Here is a 16474-nt window from a genome sequence, read left to right on the forward strand (position 1 = left end):
GTCTGGCTGGGTATCCGCTGGCTTACTCTCTCTCGGTTGTCCTCTCCGCTGGGGAGGGAGTGAGGCGCGGGTGCCGGCCGGGACCCCTGACAACAGCTACTGGCCCAGAGGGGCTTGGGTCGTGGACTTGACATTGGGACCGGCGCCGAGAGGTCCGGGTGAGGAGCCTGGGCTGGCTGCTCTTGTTGTGGTGCTGCTAGGGAGTGCGTGTTTGGAGAGGGGGCGGGGCGGGCTTGTCTCCTTGACACTTGAGTGGGGAAGGATCCTACAAGATCCTGGTTCCCCGAGCGGGCTCCGGAAACTACTGCCCGGGTTTCCGATGCGTTGCGGCCCCGCTCTGGGGTCCCCTGGCTAGGACGCGCCGGGATGCCGTGACGTGGTGCTCGGTTCGAGCAGTCGCCGGCCGCCTCCAAGATCCTGTCGGGAGGCGGGGACTGGCTTGTGGAGGGAGAGGATTCCTTTGGCTCTGCCCCTTCTTCCTCCTCCCCACCCCTTTTCTTTATGTCATACTGCCGGCTGGGGCGCGCAGTCCAGTTCTTCTTGCCTTGGGTTTGTTCTGAGCTGAGAGGACTATGGGAAGTAGGGGGAGGGGGGCTCACCTCGGGACACAGAGTTGGAGTTAGCAGCCCCAGCGCCTGGAACGGGATATAGCAGTTATTTCGGTTCGGTGTCTGACTTCTAGGCTAGACAGTGAGCTCGTTCATTCATTCATTCATCCATTCGTTTTGCTCAGTCGCGTCAACCATTCACTTACCCATTTAACAAATACTTAGAGCGGCTCTACTCTGTGCTAAGCAGGTATTGCGCGTGCCCCCAGAGCCGTGTCTTTTTGTCTTTTACACTAGGAAATTCCCAGTTCTAAGTAAGTTCCTGGCAGCTCAACTGTTGGTAAATGGCTGTTTAATAACTACAGGATCAAAATTCATATTCCATTAAGACTTGAGAGAGTATATATATATGTGTGTGTGTGTATATATATATGTATATATATATGTGTATATATATATATGTATGTATCGTTCCAATTTTAGTATATGTGTTGCTGAAGCGAGCACGAGGAGTTATTTATTAAGTTTCTTTAACTTGCTAGGAGCTTTACAAATTTTATCTCATGTAATTCATAAATGAGGAAGCTGACAGGAGTCAACTTGCCCCAGGTTGGTAGTACCACCTGTTTATTAAATGAAATGCCAGCCACTATGAAAGAACTTTATATATAGTGTTCTTTAATACGCGTAACAAACTGGGTGGTATTACCTCTGTTTTATAGATGTGTAAAGCTTAGGCTTAACCAGTAAGTTGAAAAGTTGGGACTAGAAACCTAGAGGTGTCTGGCTCTAAAGCCTGTGTTCTTTCCACTGTGATAGTTCAAATGACTTAATTCTTGATTTCTCAAAAGTTGGAAAGTGTGGTGGTGAGAAAGGATTGTAAAATAGTAATATCTTTTTGGTTTACTTCTTAGCCTGTGACTGGATCTCCAGGTGAGTGGCCCCTTGAATGTACTTTGGTACTTTGGTAATTTGACTTTTTTTTTTTGTTCTGGTAGGGAGGACAAGCTCTTTGGGGCTACCAAACAGAAGCAGCAATGCCTGTTGTGTGGCCAACCCTTCTGGATCTCAGCAGGGATGAATGCAAAAGAATTCTTCGAAAATTGGGTATGACGTTCATTGTTTGTTTTTTACCTCTCTCTGATACCTTTTTTCCCTTTCTGCCTAGGTCATAGCTGTTTGCATGGATGTCATATCTCACGCTACATCAGAAATTCTTTGGAGATACAGTTCCCATCTTACTCATTGTTGTTTCCCTCAGTGCCTAACATAGTGCTTTGTAAATAGTAGGTGTGTGAATTGTAATAATACTAGTAGCTAAGATTTATTGAGGGCTACTTGGCTATTCTGAGTCTTTTTTATACAACATCTAATTTAAATATTTTAAGAATTAGCTTTGTCCTTTGAAAGCCTAAAAGGTAGGTGTTTTTTGTTTGTTTGTTTTGTCTCGTCTCCATTTTACAGATGAAGCTTAGAAGCCAAGGTAATGGTGATAGACATGGAGTCAGTATTTGAACCAGGGAGTATGCTTTCAGTCTCACTTTAACATACTCTTAACCTTCATGATTGTATGTGTCAATTACATACTATTTCTGAATTCTAAGTTGATGTAAGCCATGCTCACTTTTTCAAATTATATTTTACTATCAATAATAAAACACATTTTATGCTTGTAATTTATTATTTAGTGTTTCTTTTCCCTTACAGCAGCCTTTCTCAACCAGCATTGAGGGAAAGAATTAAACCCTAATGCTAAGGTATCCATTGTATGTAAAGAACTAACTTCGCCCTGTGCATCTAGAGTGCTATTAGTTATTACTTTCCTTGGGAAAATTGAGAAAAAGAGTTATTACTCAAATCATTTTGTGTTCTGTAGTTCAAATGAGGATCTTTGGTTGAGAAATGCTGCCTTAGACTATGAGGACCTTGTCTTATTTACCACTGTAGTCTCTGGCTAGCACAATAAATGAAATAATTGAAAAAAATAATTTGAAAAAGAAGATTAAATGTTTTGGCAGTGGATATGCATTATTTAGATATCTGTGATTTTAAAGGAAAAGTATAGGTCTTGAATTTAGACAGACCTGGGGTCTTGGTATTATTACAAATGACCCATGTGACCAAGGACAAGTTATTTATTCTTCCTAAATTTGTTGATAGTTTTGTTAAAACAAAAAAAAAGAGGATAACACTCTCTGCCTCATTAGTTTGTTACGTGTGTTAACAGTATACATAAAGGGCCCGTCATAGTAAATCTTTGTTGGGAATTTTTCTTTGTAAATCAGATAGAATCATAGCTGCTCTGGCCCTGCCTGTCCTTTTTATTCCACCCAAGGCCACTATGAGGATTTCAAATCACTTTTTAGCAGCATCTTTTAAAGCAAGTCTAAGAGAGTTGTTTTTGGAGAGGGTGTGGGGGATGTCAATCTTTTTTTTTTTTAACCAAACTTTTAGTCCTAATCTGAAGATAGTTTTCTACACTTGCATACAATTAATATAACTTGTTAGTTGCCGATTATAAAGTTGGACTCATATTTATTTGATAGCTGAAATTGCAGAACATATCACAAAGACAGTAGATTGAATTGGGGTTTCTGGGCTTGGGGGCCTTTGAATTGAGAGATTATGTTTAAATATAAAAATGGTAACCTTTAAGTCTAAATTTATTCCTAATTTAATCAGAGCTGTGTGGGTAATGTTGCTGCAGAGTGCTTCTATATAAAAGAAAACAGTCATCTCGTATGGTAATATCATCTTCATTGACCCCTCATATTGGGAGGTGAGCTTTGATAGTGATTTGCCAAAGACTTCCTCCCCACCCGTTGGCTTATTATCATAACAATGAAACCTTTGAATTGTCTTCACATGCTAACTCTAGGTCCAAAGTTTAGAAAAGGTACATACAGTTTTTAAAAATTAGCTGTATCCTTTAAAAAATAGTTATAAATCATTTTAATATAAGATGTTAAATACTTAGATTTTACATACATATAAAGAAATTGGGATAGAGAATTTCTTTATATATACTGAATGTGTCAGTGCTAGATAAATGCTTCCTTCTCTCTGTCTTGCCTCTCCCCTTCCCTATTTTTGTGATCATTCCTGAGCTGTAGCTCCAACACGGGGCTTTATGGACTATAGTGTATTTGAATGGCTGATTTAATGGACCAAATTGAGGGCTTTATATAAATGGTTTGGCAAATCTTTCGTTTTTGGAATGTTCATATGTGTTTGTTATTTTATTCTACTTTTGTATTAACACTGTGATAGAATTGCTTGAAAAATAATACCAGAAATTCAACTAAATTTGAGGTATGTGAAGATCTAAGGATACCCATCAAAATGGACATCAACAAATGTGAAGGAGGTTGGGAAGCTAATAGGGTTCTTTACAATGAGTGAATTTCTTGTGAAGAGGAGGAAGTGATGTGGATTCTATAGCTGTGGTAACTGTGTTCAGAGTCCCAGTTTTGTGTGTGTGAGGTTGCCATCTCTTGATTTTGTACATGACTTCTTAGACTTGAAATGTCAGAAATATTTGTTGTATTTCTTTAGTTAATTTTATTTTCTCTGAAGTAATGTCTTGATCATCATAAATTCCACAGGTCACAAGTGTCAACTTCTTTTTCATTTTTCTCAAACTATTCCCTCACTTTGACCTCTTCATTTCTTTTTATGGCATTGCCATTCTCCTAAACATTTTGCAGGCTGCAAAATCTGACTGCCTTCTGTCATTACTTCCCACAATCAATCAATTACTGAGTCCTATCAAATAAAAACATTTTAGACTGGAAATAGAGGCTTTTCTCAGTCTGGCCACAAACTACTTTTCCATTTTTACCGTTCTCTGTTCTCTTCCATGTGTGAACTAAAATCTTTAAAATAGTTATTTGGATATATTTCTTAGGTGCCTTGTTGGATTTTAATCACCTTGAGGATAGGGATTTTATTTTGTTCCTAGAAATATTCTCCATGATACCTTGTAGCAGTAATGTTCAATTAGTAGTTTGGTTTGAGTTAGGGACTATCCAAGTACAGACATATTTTTACTGCCCTTAGTATAAAACTCTCAAACATAGTTACTGACTGTTACTGGAAGTTACTGGAATAATATGAAACTATCTGTTCTTTTACTCTATTTCTTTTGTACATTTGCTTTTTTTTTTTTTTTTCCCTGCCTGCCTGGCACACAATTCTCTTTCTGATTAAAGCTTCTGCTTCTACGCTAGATGATGTATTTCTCTTCTGCACTTAACTCCCTGAGGGCAGGATTAGCGCACCATTTGGTATATATAATGGGACTCAATACTGATCTGTTGAATAAAATATTTCATAAATGGGGGAAGGCATAAACATTTAGAGTATACTGCATTCTTGGTTATCCCTAATGCTTTTTCTGGACTCTATTCTGGGTCCGATAAAAGCTGAAACATGTTTCCTGAAACTAACTATTTCCTTCACTACTCTGAGCAGCAGAGCTTTGTCCTTCAAGAGTGACCACCACATTGAAATGTCTACATAGTATCCAACACAGGTTGAACATGCAGGATGTTTAAACTTAGGGTCATTTGGTTGGAACAGACATTCCTTTTTTTTTTTTTTCCTTCTGAGACAGAGTCTTACTCTGTCACCCAGGCTGAAGTACAGTGGCATGAACATGGCTCACCACATCCTCAACCTCCCAGGCTCAAGTGATCCTCCTACCTCAGCCTCCTGAGTAGCTGGGACCACAGGCATGCACTACCACCCCCAGCTGATTTTTAAATTTTTTGTAGGGATGGGGTCTTGCCATGTTGCCCAGGCTGGTGTTGAACTCCTGAGCTCAAGCAATCCTCCTGCCTCGGCCTCCCAAAGAGCTGGGATTACAGGTGTGAGCCATGAAGCCTGGCCAGATTTTTTTTTTTTTTTTTAAGACAGGATCTCGCTCAGTTGCCCAGGCTGGAGTGCGGTGGCATGATCACAGCTCACTGCATCCTTGACTTCCTGGGCTCAAGTGATCCTCCCACGTCAGCCTCCTGAGAGGCTGGAACTACAGGTGTGTACCACCACACCCAGCTAATTTTTTGTATTTTTTTTGTACAGCCAGAGTTTTGCCATGTTGCCCAGACTGGTCTCGAACTCTTGGACTCAAGCAATCTGCCTCCCTCGGCTTCCCAAAGTGCTAGGATTACAGGCATGAGCCACTGCACCCGGCCTGACAGTTTTATTTCTTAATGGTTAATTCTGTGGAGAGAGTGCAATGAAGATGTCTAGTATTAGGATTCAGTATATTATGTCCTAGTTGCTGCAAGATCATTTCATGTTTATGTTTCCCAATTAGTCATTTTGATGATAGTTTTTATAGATGCGGAGGATCTTGCTTCTGGAGGGTACCTACAAAGTCCCTTCTAGGTAAGGAAACAGGTTTAGAGATGAGAAAAGACTTGCTGAATGTCACATAACTAATAAGTGGCAGTGCTGGAGTCAGAATATTTTGTTCCAATATTTTTTCCATTGCATACTATTTACAGTACTTTCGATTACACAGGAGGGAGGTAGAATATAGTTTGAATTCTTAGGCAAGCCTAAGGAATTATTTTAAGAGTTGATTAATGAAGATACCTTTTAGTAATGCTGAAAACGTCTCAGCCTTGTTACATCAGTTGGTGCCTATTCCCAGTTGTTGGTATCATTTGTGTTATATGTTTTTTAGTGACAATGTGTGAAACAAAATATCTACTGTTAGATTTTTCTACCTAAACATTTTATATACATGACTTCTGTGAGGCAATGAAAAACAAAATATAAAATTATAAAAGTCACATTTTAATGTTATTAGATAAAATTTTTGAAAGGAATTTAAAACAATATTTTTATTTAATTATTTTTAGTTTTTTTGCCCTGAAGTTTCACTATACATAGCCATAGTATTAAAATATTAAAGGCCTATCTTGATAAAATAATTTTCTTCTTTTAGAATTGGAGGCATATGCTGGAGTTATCAGTGCACTTCGGGCACAGGGGGATCTCACCAAGGAAAAGAAAGATCTTCTTGGAGAACTATCAAAAGTTCTTAGGTAAATTATTGTAAATGTTTGTGAGACTCTAGAAATTTCATTTTGGGGGATTTTATTACTTATCACTCTCAAATTAAGTAACTGTCAAATTAAGTTGAAGAACAGAGGTGTTCAAATTGTTGGTGCTAAGAGACTCCATCCCAGTTGTGTGCTCTGTTACAGAAAATTGTATAATTTACCATTTATTGTGTAATCCAGAATGAATATAATCCAGAATGAAGAGCGTGCAAACTCTTCAGAAAGACTTGAAGGCAGTTTATCTTACTTTTAGCCCACCTGGATAAGGGAGGTGCTTTTGACATAGGTGAAGGAAAGAAGAGCAGTAACTGGATGTGATGATCTAGAGTGGCATTTGTTGGAGGGAAGAGGTGATGTGAGGAAGATGCCTTAATTTACATAAATGGGTAGTGATTATGTGGTCATGGCCTTAAACATAGTCTTTTTTAAGTGAAAATATGGAAGAGGCTCTTCCTGTTACTTAACATTAATATAGGGATGTTATTAAGCCAAATTCTCAATCTTACTGTCTTCATAGTTAACAATTTGTATTTGTTTGTTGTTTATATTTCTCATAAATTCTGTTTTGTAGCCTCTTAATTCTGTTTTGGTCCATATTAGAGATTTAGCTTAAATAGTATGGAATACAATTTGAAGAGTGGTATTCATTTTATTGAGTATTTATGAATGGAATGGGTATAACCTTTTAAAAAGTTGTTTACTATTATTAACTTTACATGTGTTTAATCAGGATTAATATAAGCACATTTTTACCATTGGTAACATAATGTAATGTAGAAGATATGCAGCTAAAGTATTGAATAATAAAGGAATATTACCCTGGTGTTAAGTTGTATAGTGTATAGCCACAGGAAACAGATTATCTTGCCACTCCATTTGTTTATTATATTCATTGAACATTAAATTATAGACTCCTAAGCCTTAGAAAAGACCTTAGAAAACTTTCTTGTAAGTGACAAAATCCTCTTCTCAGCAGTCACAATTAGGAAGCCATTCAGCATCTGTTTGCATGTTTAGATAGCAGGAAGCTCTGCTAATCTTACCCATGGTCTGACATTTCTGAGATTTGGAAGTAATACCTTGATATCAGGCTGAATTTGTCTTCTTATGATTTCTAATTTGCAACTAAATATTTCTTCAGTTACACAGAATTAGTATGAATCCTTTTCTAAGATGTTAAAGCATTTGAAGATATATATATTAGACTCCTGTCTATATCTTTTCACAAAGCAATCTTGTCCCCCTTCTCCCCCCAAAAATGTTGACTTAAACATTAATGAAAGTATAGAAAGAGCTGCCTGCTTGGCAGAGTTCTATAATGGCTATTTTTCTTCATAGCATCTCAACAGAACGCCACCGTGCTGAAGTTCGGAGAGCAGTAAACGATGAACGGTTAACAACAATTGCACATAAGTAAGCCATTAGTCGTACCATCCCTGATTTTTTATGACATAGTATAACACAGTTTTGAAACAGTCTTCCTATTGTGTAGCAGATTCCTGAGTCTTTTAAGTAACAATATCTCTATACTCAGGGATCCTGATCATAGCAGTAAAAGTGATATTAACTGTTTATTCAGTTGGGTTTTTTTTTGCATTTGGTTAGGCAAGCTTTAAGTACTCAGGTCAAATCCTGTTACAATGTAATCTCTGTCTAACTAAAAATCACCACAATTTAGCAGATGATTCACTTACTTGAGGCCAAGTTCAGTAACAAAGTATTGTGACCCCTAAAATTGAAAGCCCTTTAGAGGTTCTTTGTAATGGTATTTGATATGTTATTACCTTATAAATAGGCGTTGTAACTTTTTTGATATCTGACTCATTATTTCATGTATTTTGAGATTCAGAAAAAAATGTAAAATTTGTGTTCTGTCTTTAAGAAATATGAATATAACATCTCTTAATTTATTTTTAAAAAGCCAAAAAAATAAAACGATTAAAGATTCTTACCAAATTGTTTTCTGATCATTATAACTATTTAAGAGGAGGGGTGGAGGGTGGTAGAGGATTGAGGGCAGGGATTAAGCCTTAATTGAGTATGTATGGAGACAGTGCCTCCTAAAGAATACAAAGGAACAGAAAGTAGCCTTTAAATGTTTGTACAAGATGATAAAACATTTCATAAAATATGTTATAGTATAATTCATTTGTTTTTTATTTTTATGTTTTAATGTTAAATAAAACTAAAGGGAAAAATTCAGTGCATTTCCATAATGTGATAACTTAAACATTGTATTTAAGTCAATTGGCAATATTTGAATTGACCCCAAAGAGCTTCATCTTGTGCTTCACTGTCCCTCATTTTACTTAACATAAAATGGGGTGCTACCTTTTCAACAACGTAGTTTGAAGGTTGAGCTGTTTATTCTGGAATTTTGAGATTCTTCAGTGGTAGGTATGCACTGTAGAAATTTGGGAATTTTCTATTAGAGATGTTTAGTAATCTAGTTGCTAGGCTAACATGGTTGAAACACTCAGATATTAGTCAATGTGTTCCTTCTTTAATTTGCTCTAAGCTTTTGAATTGGGGTGCTCTAGAAGTAATGGTAACTGCGCCTAGATTCTAATTTGAGAACTAGTAATAGGAAATTTATGTGCTAGAGAATAAAGTAGTAAACCTTAGCTTGCATTCAGAGGCACTTAGAAACAAATTAGTATTGTAGAAGCATTGGAAAGGTATTGTGGGGCAACTAGTTGTAAGTTGATGCATCAGTTTCATACTTAAAGGATAACATTTATTTAGTCTCCTTTTCCTTTTTTCCCCTTTAAAGAATGAATTTATCCTTATATTTGGGTGAAAGACCAAGTTACAGGTATGCAAATAGGTTATTATTATTTCAGGCTTTTTCTTGTATTTATTTCCAAATTGAAGCTCTCAATTATTCAGGGGCACATTATTCCATTTATGAATTAACCATGCCCCTTGCTTTCCTTCTCTTCCCCTCCTCCCCCTCCTAATACTGCCCACCCTTTAGCCATTTTGCTGCTTGGGAGTACCTCTAGTCAGAGGGTGGGAAGGGAGAGGAGGTGAAAATTTTAATTAGTCATTTTACTACTTGTTAGTTGTCCTGGAAAAGGTTTGGTGGAAGAATTTACAAGTATTTGCCAAAATATTTTTGGATAATATATGAGTTTCTTTAATCTATTTGACCTCTCCCTTTCCCTCCTCTCTCCATCAGCATGGATAATTGAGAGTTGGCTTTTATCTGCCTGTGTTTCCTCTTTTTTCTCTCCTTTCTGATTTCTTTAATACATAAATTTCATTTTTTTGAAAAGAGTTTACTTCAGTGTATAATTTTGAGCTTCTTAGGTTTTTCTATATTCTTGTTTTAATATATTATTGTTTTAGTTGGATCAGATGTTTTATCTACTTGTTGAGCTCAAGGGGTCAGTGAGTGGGGATTGGTGAGGAAGGAATAGATCTCTCATTCTTTCCATCTCCTCTGCCCTCTTCCCCTCAGAAGTAGCAACAGAGCCTAGTTCCAAAGATTATCTATAGGAGGGCTTCATACTCCAAGCCTAGAAAAACAACTAAAGGAATGCGCCTGAACTGACTGCATTCCCTTTCTCCTCCCCTCCCCTCCCCCCACTCAAAATAGGAGTTAAGGCCTGAAGGAATGTGGTTGAAAGGTGATGAGAAAGCTGAGAAGATTGAGCACAAAGGAGGGGGAAACAAAAGGAGTGGGATATCTGGGATCAAAGAAAAGCCTTTCTTGTGGCTTGAAACATAACACGTGTTTATTGTTTGGCACCAGGCCACTTATTAAGTAGTTTGATACTCTTAATTCAGTTTTTAATTATGTCAGAATGTTACAGTATTAACGCCTTGGATGTCAAGGAGCTTCGGATTTTTTAATTGGACCACTCTTGCCCATGTTGTCTCTAGATTCAGGAGAAAGTGTCTATCTGGAATTTCTGCTCTCTTAATCCTTTCCCCATCACTCAGACATTCACAGGATACTGGGTCAGTTTCTGTGTGAGGATGAGGATTTCTTACTGGTGCCTTATACACCAAAGGATATGTGGGCCAAGGTAGTTTCATTAGTATAATCTTAGATTTCTCAGAAAAGGGACTGGAGCAAGGTTTCCCCTGTCATACTTAGTATAAATAGAGAGACACTTTTATACTCACACTAAAGTATCTCAGTGAAGCCCTCCAGGAAGATGTTTAGTCTATAAAATCTAGTTTAGATAACTTGTGTAACTAATGCATATTTACACTTACATCTTCATTACTAAGCAAATAGGAATTTCTGATCTAATTCTAACATGATACTTAATTTTTCACTCAAAGTTTGAGCATGTTTGCATGAGTAGAAATTTGGAAGATTTATAGATCTTTCTAAAAGTTGCAGTTGTGTCTTTTGCACTGCAAGTTTTGTCTTTTCAGTAGCATATGTTCATGTGCTTCAAATTATTAATCTTCCATAATTTCTGCCACCACTTAAACAATGTACCAGGTAAGTGTAGATGTCACTTAATTTGTGTGGTAAACTCTCACCAAGCAAGCTTATTAGTGATATTATAATAAACTGATAGCAAAATAAAAGTAAGCCAAGAATATGCTGAATAGCTTTTAGAATTTTTTCCTCTAACAATGAGCTTTTCTGTTTCTTTCTTGTTTGTACCATTCTTTGTTTCAAAAGTAGCATCAACTTGGGGATTATATAATAACAAATTTGTGAGTGTTACTGAAGTTTTAGGAATTCCCCTTTCCTTTGTCTTAGGTAGGACTGTGTTAAACCATAAAGGAATTTACACATTTTCCACAGTAACCCAGCTGGATTCATCGGCTCTTAGAAATTCCTTTCTGAGCTGAACTTAAATCCTTAAATTGTAAAAGTGATTTATTCCATTCAGTGAAAGTTGGTAGTAATTCAACAGCACTATCCAGTTGGTATACATCAAAGGCAAAACCCATTTGAAAAATTTTATACTTTCTACTTATCTGTCAAATAATTTCAGTAGTATGATTATGCTGGTCGAAGGAGACATTTATTAGTTGCGTGACCTTAGGCAAGTTATTTGATATCTCTGACTCAGTTTCCTCATCTGTAAAATGGAGGTAATAATACTACCAAATTCATAGGATTGAAGAGTTAATACATGTAATATGTTTAGAACAATCCTTGACATAAGTGCTTAATGATAACTATCATCATTACTATCATTATTAGCATTATCATTTTTCCACTGCCCACTAACAAGGGCTTTATACTCTTATCTAAATCTGAGAATGGGTGGACATACAGAGTCTTAAACTCTAAGTTAGTTTGAAGAACCTATGGTTTCAAATGCAGAAATATTTCAGATTTAGTGTGAAGAGATTGATTATTTCGGAGTGAATTTAAACTTCAGCACTAATCATTAGTCAGGGTCTTTCATAGAGCCAAGTTAAGAGAAGTGATACAACTACGTTTTGATATTTCAACCTCTGGTTGGATTCTTGGAATAAAATTTGCTCCAGGAATTTTGGGTAGAGAAACTGAGAATGGTGTTTGCTTAGAGAGTTGAATTGTCTCAATTCCTTCTTAGAGTGAAGGGTGGTATAAATAAATAAAATTAATGGTGCGTTTCTTCTAGTGTCGTTAGATCTAGTCTGTTTTTAACAGGAAGGATAATAACAATACATTGTCAGTGACACATACGGTTATATATACAGCACTCTTCTGTTCTTTTCTACTTAGGCTCCCTTGTTTACTGCCTCAGTTTCCCTTGTTTGAAAGCCTTAGAACCTCTGGCCATGCAGGCAGTTAGATAATTTTCAAAAGGTTCAGTGAATTCCATCCTTAATTAAGGAAAATCTGACTTTTAAAATTATAAGTGCTTTTTACTTTCTTGTGTTAATTATAAAATTAACTTCTAAAAATTAGTTGAAATACTAGTTTTCATTAGTGATAGCAGATTTAAGTTAATGAAACCAAGGCCGATATTTATTTAGAAGGCATAGGAAGATTTCTTGTAGTTTCAGTTATGTTCATGATAAGATTCAGATTATAGAATAAACTGTGTAAGAACCTAAGTGTGTGACATTCCTTGAATTATAATTATTCATAATTTTGATCTTGCTTGCTTAAAATAAAGCCTCTCCTATTCACTCAGGGCACTTTTTATAATTTAAAAAGTTATATATGTTTGAGCATATATGTTTGATTTGTTTTTAGTGATTGAAAACCCTTGTAGCAGCGCTTTCTTTTTTGTTTAGTATGTCTGGACCTAATAGCTCTTCAGAATGGTCCATTGAAGGTCGTCGATTGGTACCACTGATGCCCCGGCTCGTTCCCCAAACCGCCTTTACTGTAACAGCTAATGCTGTTGCTAATGCAGCTATCCAGCATAATGCATCTCTTCCAGTGCCTGCAGAAACAGGAAGCAAGGAAGGTGAGTAGAAAAATATGCCTGTGTTAGAGATTACTTTTCTTAGAATCTTCAAGAAAATTTCAAGAAAAGTTGTCTTATTTTTCATCTACTTTTATTCTAGTGTTTAAAGGTTATGAAACATAGTAGGAAACTCTAATTCTGAAATTAGACTGCCAGGTTTTTAGCCTTAGACAAAATTTAGTCTCCCTTTTGTCGAAGGTGTGAATTATGTTAATCATCAAAATTGCAAAAACCTCGGAATAGATTTTTGATATCAGTGTGTCTTGTTAAAAATGAATAGAAGGCCTTAATGGATGACATTAGAAAATAAATAAGGTAACAGAAGTCATTTAGCTACTAAAAAATGATTCTGAACTGATAGCTTTAGAAAATAAAGCTGTTTTCATTTTCTGGAATCAGTGATATATGCTACTTCTTTGTTCTGGTTAATGAATGTGCTGAATCCATTCCCTGGCAGAAGGGTTTTATCATTATTTATCTAGTAATTGACACATGCTTTAAAAATCCTCCAATGCTCTAGAGGCCACCAAGAGTAATATTAAATTTGAGAGAGCATATTTGGATTGACTCAAGTAGTTTAGTTTGATGTTGCATGACAATGACCCTAAAAACAATGCATTTGTCAGGTTACTCTGGGGAATTGTCTTTGCTTACCTAGCAATGGCCATGGAACAGAGTAAGACACTTTTTTTATGCATGACAGGCTCTGTTTTAGGGTGAGAAAAGGTATATTTGGAGGAAGACAGTGTATAAACTTGGCCTCCATCGAGTTCTTCCATCTACTGACGCTCAGGTAGAGTGGAAAGAATACAGAGTTTCCACTAGTCAAATCCATGTTTGAATCTTAATTTGTCATTTCCTAGCTGTATGACCTCCAGCAAGTTTGAGCTTCTGTGAGCCTTGGGTTCCTCATCTTTAAAATGAGAATGTGATGTTGTGAGAATTAGTGAAGATGTATGGAAAGGATTTAGTGTGTGGTACTCAATAAATGGTGCCTATAACCTATTCTTACTGTTGTTTAGCTGTATCCCTTCGTTGAATGATAGGTTGAAATATGATGTTGTCATTATTTTAGTTGAGTTGTTGTGCTGCTTGGATGGCAATGACTAGCGAGTTGATTTATAGAAAAGAACGTTTCCTTGATTGTTCCCTAGTGGCCACATTGGAAATTGCTAAGGTTAGGGAAAAATTATCCACCCATATCATTGGTGCTGCTATTAGTATTAAAAGGGAATACAAGTAAGTGCCTGTTGTCCCACTCCTGCCATGAGTGAAAATTATTTTCATTTTTTCTCAGTATAATTTTAAACTTTATTTCTTTGTAACTGTGTTTTTCTCCGTCAGCAATGTCACCTGTAGACAAGCTGTTAAATACTTGGGAAAAATCTATTTAAGTGATAATTTTCAGGAAAGGTTATTAATGCCTTTTAATCTGTGGACCTAATACCTAGTACTGGCCTCTGACTTCTGATCACATGAAAATGTTAAAATTGGCCTGCAATAAAAATAATTTTTTTGTATGCCTGGACAGTTTTGGTGAAAGTTAACAGCAAACTTTTTTATCGTTCCTTCAGTAGTGGTTTGCTATTCCTACACAAGTACCACGTCAACCCCAACCTCTACCCCTGTTCCAAGTGGCAGCATAGCAACGGTTAAGTCTCCAAGACCTGCCAGTCCTGCCTCCAATGTAGTTGTCTTGCCAAGTGGAAGTACTGTTTATGTCAAAAGTAAGTGATATTCTCAGTGTTATCAGGGCCTTCTTGGCTAAATGCTGCAGTCTAGGCTCTGATTAGACCTGCCTTCCTGGATTAAATCATTGGTCCACTAGCTGTTAGTAGGTTAGTTTTTGAAGATTTTAAAGAATTCCTTTCTTTACATATGACTAGGTATATATTGCTTTTTTAATCAGTTCTGGGGTTTCAGAAGTGACTTCATTTTCATTGTCTGTGGGTAATCTGCCTTTGAACTGTGTTATCCTTAAGAATTCACTTTTTTGATTGTCATGAAATAGAAATATTGTGAATAGAAACTGAAGGAATGTGCTTATGTAATTTATTCAATATTTCTCCTATAATTTTAATCTTTGTAGTATTTTCTTAGATTATTTTATATAATGTATTATCCAGCTGTTATATTCAGTGAAACATTCTAGAGAGCCTATCTTTATTTCTAATTGACTGTAATTTTTGAAGTTTCTTTTGTTTGTAGTTTTTAATTCCTTGATTCTACCCTATGAAGCAGTTTGGTGTCCTGTTCATTTTTTTTTCATTTTTTTGTTTTTAATTTCTGTTAAGACAATGTTGCTTTATATATACATTTTGTAATTTATAAAGAAAAGGGGCCGGGCACGGTGGCTCACGCGTGTAATCCTAGCACTTTGGGAGGCCGAGGCGGGCGAATCATCTGAGGTCAGGAGTTCAAGACCAGCCTGGCCAACCTGACGAAACCTCGTCTCTACTAAAAATACAACAACAACAAAAAGTTAGCTGGGCGTGGTGACACATGCCTGTAGTCCCAGCTACTCGGGAGGCCGAGACAGGAAAATTGCTTGAACCCGGGAGGCAGAGGTTGCAGTGAGCCGAGATTGCGCCACTGCACTCCACCCTGGGCGACAGAGCAAGACTCTGTCTCAAAAAAAAGAAAAAAAAAAAAGAAAAGTGGTTAATTTGGCTCACGATTCTGCTGGTTGGAAAGTCCAAGTTTGGGTGAGGATCTTATGCTGCTTCAACTCAAGGCAGAAAGTGGAAAGAGAGCAGGTGTATGCAGAGAGATCCCATGGTGAGAGAGGAAGTGAGAGACAGAAACTGAGGAAGCCAGAATCTTCTTAAATTTTATTTTTTGCTTTGTTTTTCCTGTCAACTGGAGGTGATTAATATTTGATTTTCATTTTTCTCAATATGGTTATAAACTTGATTTCTTTGTAACTTAGAGGTAAAGTTTGCTGTTTTAGACAGGAACAATTCTAGGTCTTTGTCGGCCCTGTTTAAATTAAAAGTTAAAAAATTGAAGGTGTAGGGGTTATATTTTATTACTAATTTCATGAGTCATGCTATATAATTGTTTATGTCTGCTCTGCAGAGATTTTCTATGTTAAGTTGCTGTGTTTCATGTTTCTCACTTGATTTTTAAAAAGTCTACAAAAACAGTTGAGGCTTTAGTTCATAAAGAAAAAACGCAGAATCTAGGACTATTAATTAAATTTATATCTGATTTCTGCAGATTTAGCCAAGGTGGTCTTTTAAAATAACTGTAGAGACCTACTTTTTGATCATTTTTAAAACACTAGGCTGGAGCCGGGCTCAGTGGCTCACGCCTGTAATCCCAGCACTTTGGGAGGCTGAGGTGGGTGGATCAGTTGAGGTCAGGCGTTCGAGACTAACCTGGCCAACATGGTGAAACTCTGTCTCTACTAAAAATACAAAAACTAGTCAGGTGTGGTGGCGGGCGCCTGTAATCCGAGCTATTTGGG

At 36.8% G+C, this 16474-nt stretch overlaps 1 protein-coding gene across 50 annotated transcripts in view, besides 3 other annotated features; it reads left to right on the forward strand.

Moving 5' to 3' along the window:
- EMSY (EMSY transcriptional repressor, BRCA2 interacting) overlaps positions 1 to 16474 on the forward strand; it is a 108014-nt gene that overhangs the window by 336 nt on the left and 91204 nt on the right. For 12 of the 50 annotated variants that reach the window (XM_047427272.1, NM_001300943.2, XM_047427299.1 and 9 more), the window contains exons 2-6: positions 1547 to 1655; positions 6505 to 6604; positions 7961 to 8035; positions 12830 to 13005; positions 14580 to 14732. In XM_047427272.1, coding sequence (XP_047283228.1) covers positions 1586 to 1655; positions 6505 to 6604; positions 7961 to 8035; positions 12830 to 13005; positions 14580 to 14732 — 574 coding nt within the window. In that variant the 5' untranslated portion in view covers positions 1547 to 1585. Of the gene's footprint in view, positions 1 to 1546; positions 1656 to 6504; positions 6605 to 7960; positions 8036 to 9395; positions 9438 to 12829; positions 13006 to 14579; positions 14733 to 16474 lie in introns of all 50 variants that reach the window. The other 38 variants (XM_047427269.1, NM_001300942.2, XM_047427298.1 and 35 more) reach the window with 5 other exon arrangements.
- Positions 73 to 122: an enhancer, noted in NCBI's record as "active region_5290". NCBI's record gives its function as "activates an Ori minimal core promoter by ATAC-STARR-seq in GM12878 lymphoblastoid cells {active_cell/tissue: GM12878}" and the evidence as "EXISTENCE:reporter gene assay evidence [ECO:0000049][PMID:35858748]".
- Positions 163 to 232: an enhancer, noted in NCBI's record as "active region_5291". NCBI's record gives its function as "activates an Ori minimal core promoter by ATAC-STARR-seq in GM12878 lymphoblastoid cells {active_cell/tissue: GM12878}" and the evidence as "EXISTENCE:reporter gene assay evidence [ECO:0000049][PMID:35858748]".
- Positions 372 to 666: an enhancer, noted in NCBI's record as "tiled region #9860; K562 Activating DNase unmatched - State 1:Tss". NCBI's record gives its function as "activates a minimal TATA promoter and a strong SV40 promoter by Sharpr-MPRA in K562 cells {active_cell/tissue: K562}" and the evidence as "EXISTENCE:reporter gene assay evidence [ECO:0000049][PMID:27701403]".

This window comes from Homo sapiens, chromosome 11 (genome assembly GCF_000001405.40).
Source record: "Homo sapiens chromosome 11, GRCh38.p14 Primary Assembly".
Lineage (NCBI taxonomy): Eukaryota > Metazoa > Chordata > Mammalia > Primates > Hominidae > Homo > Homo sapiens.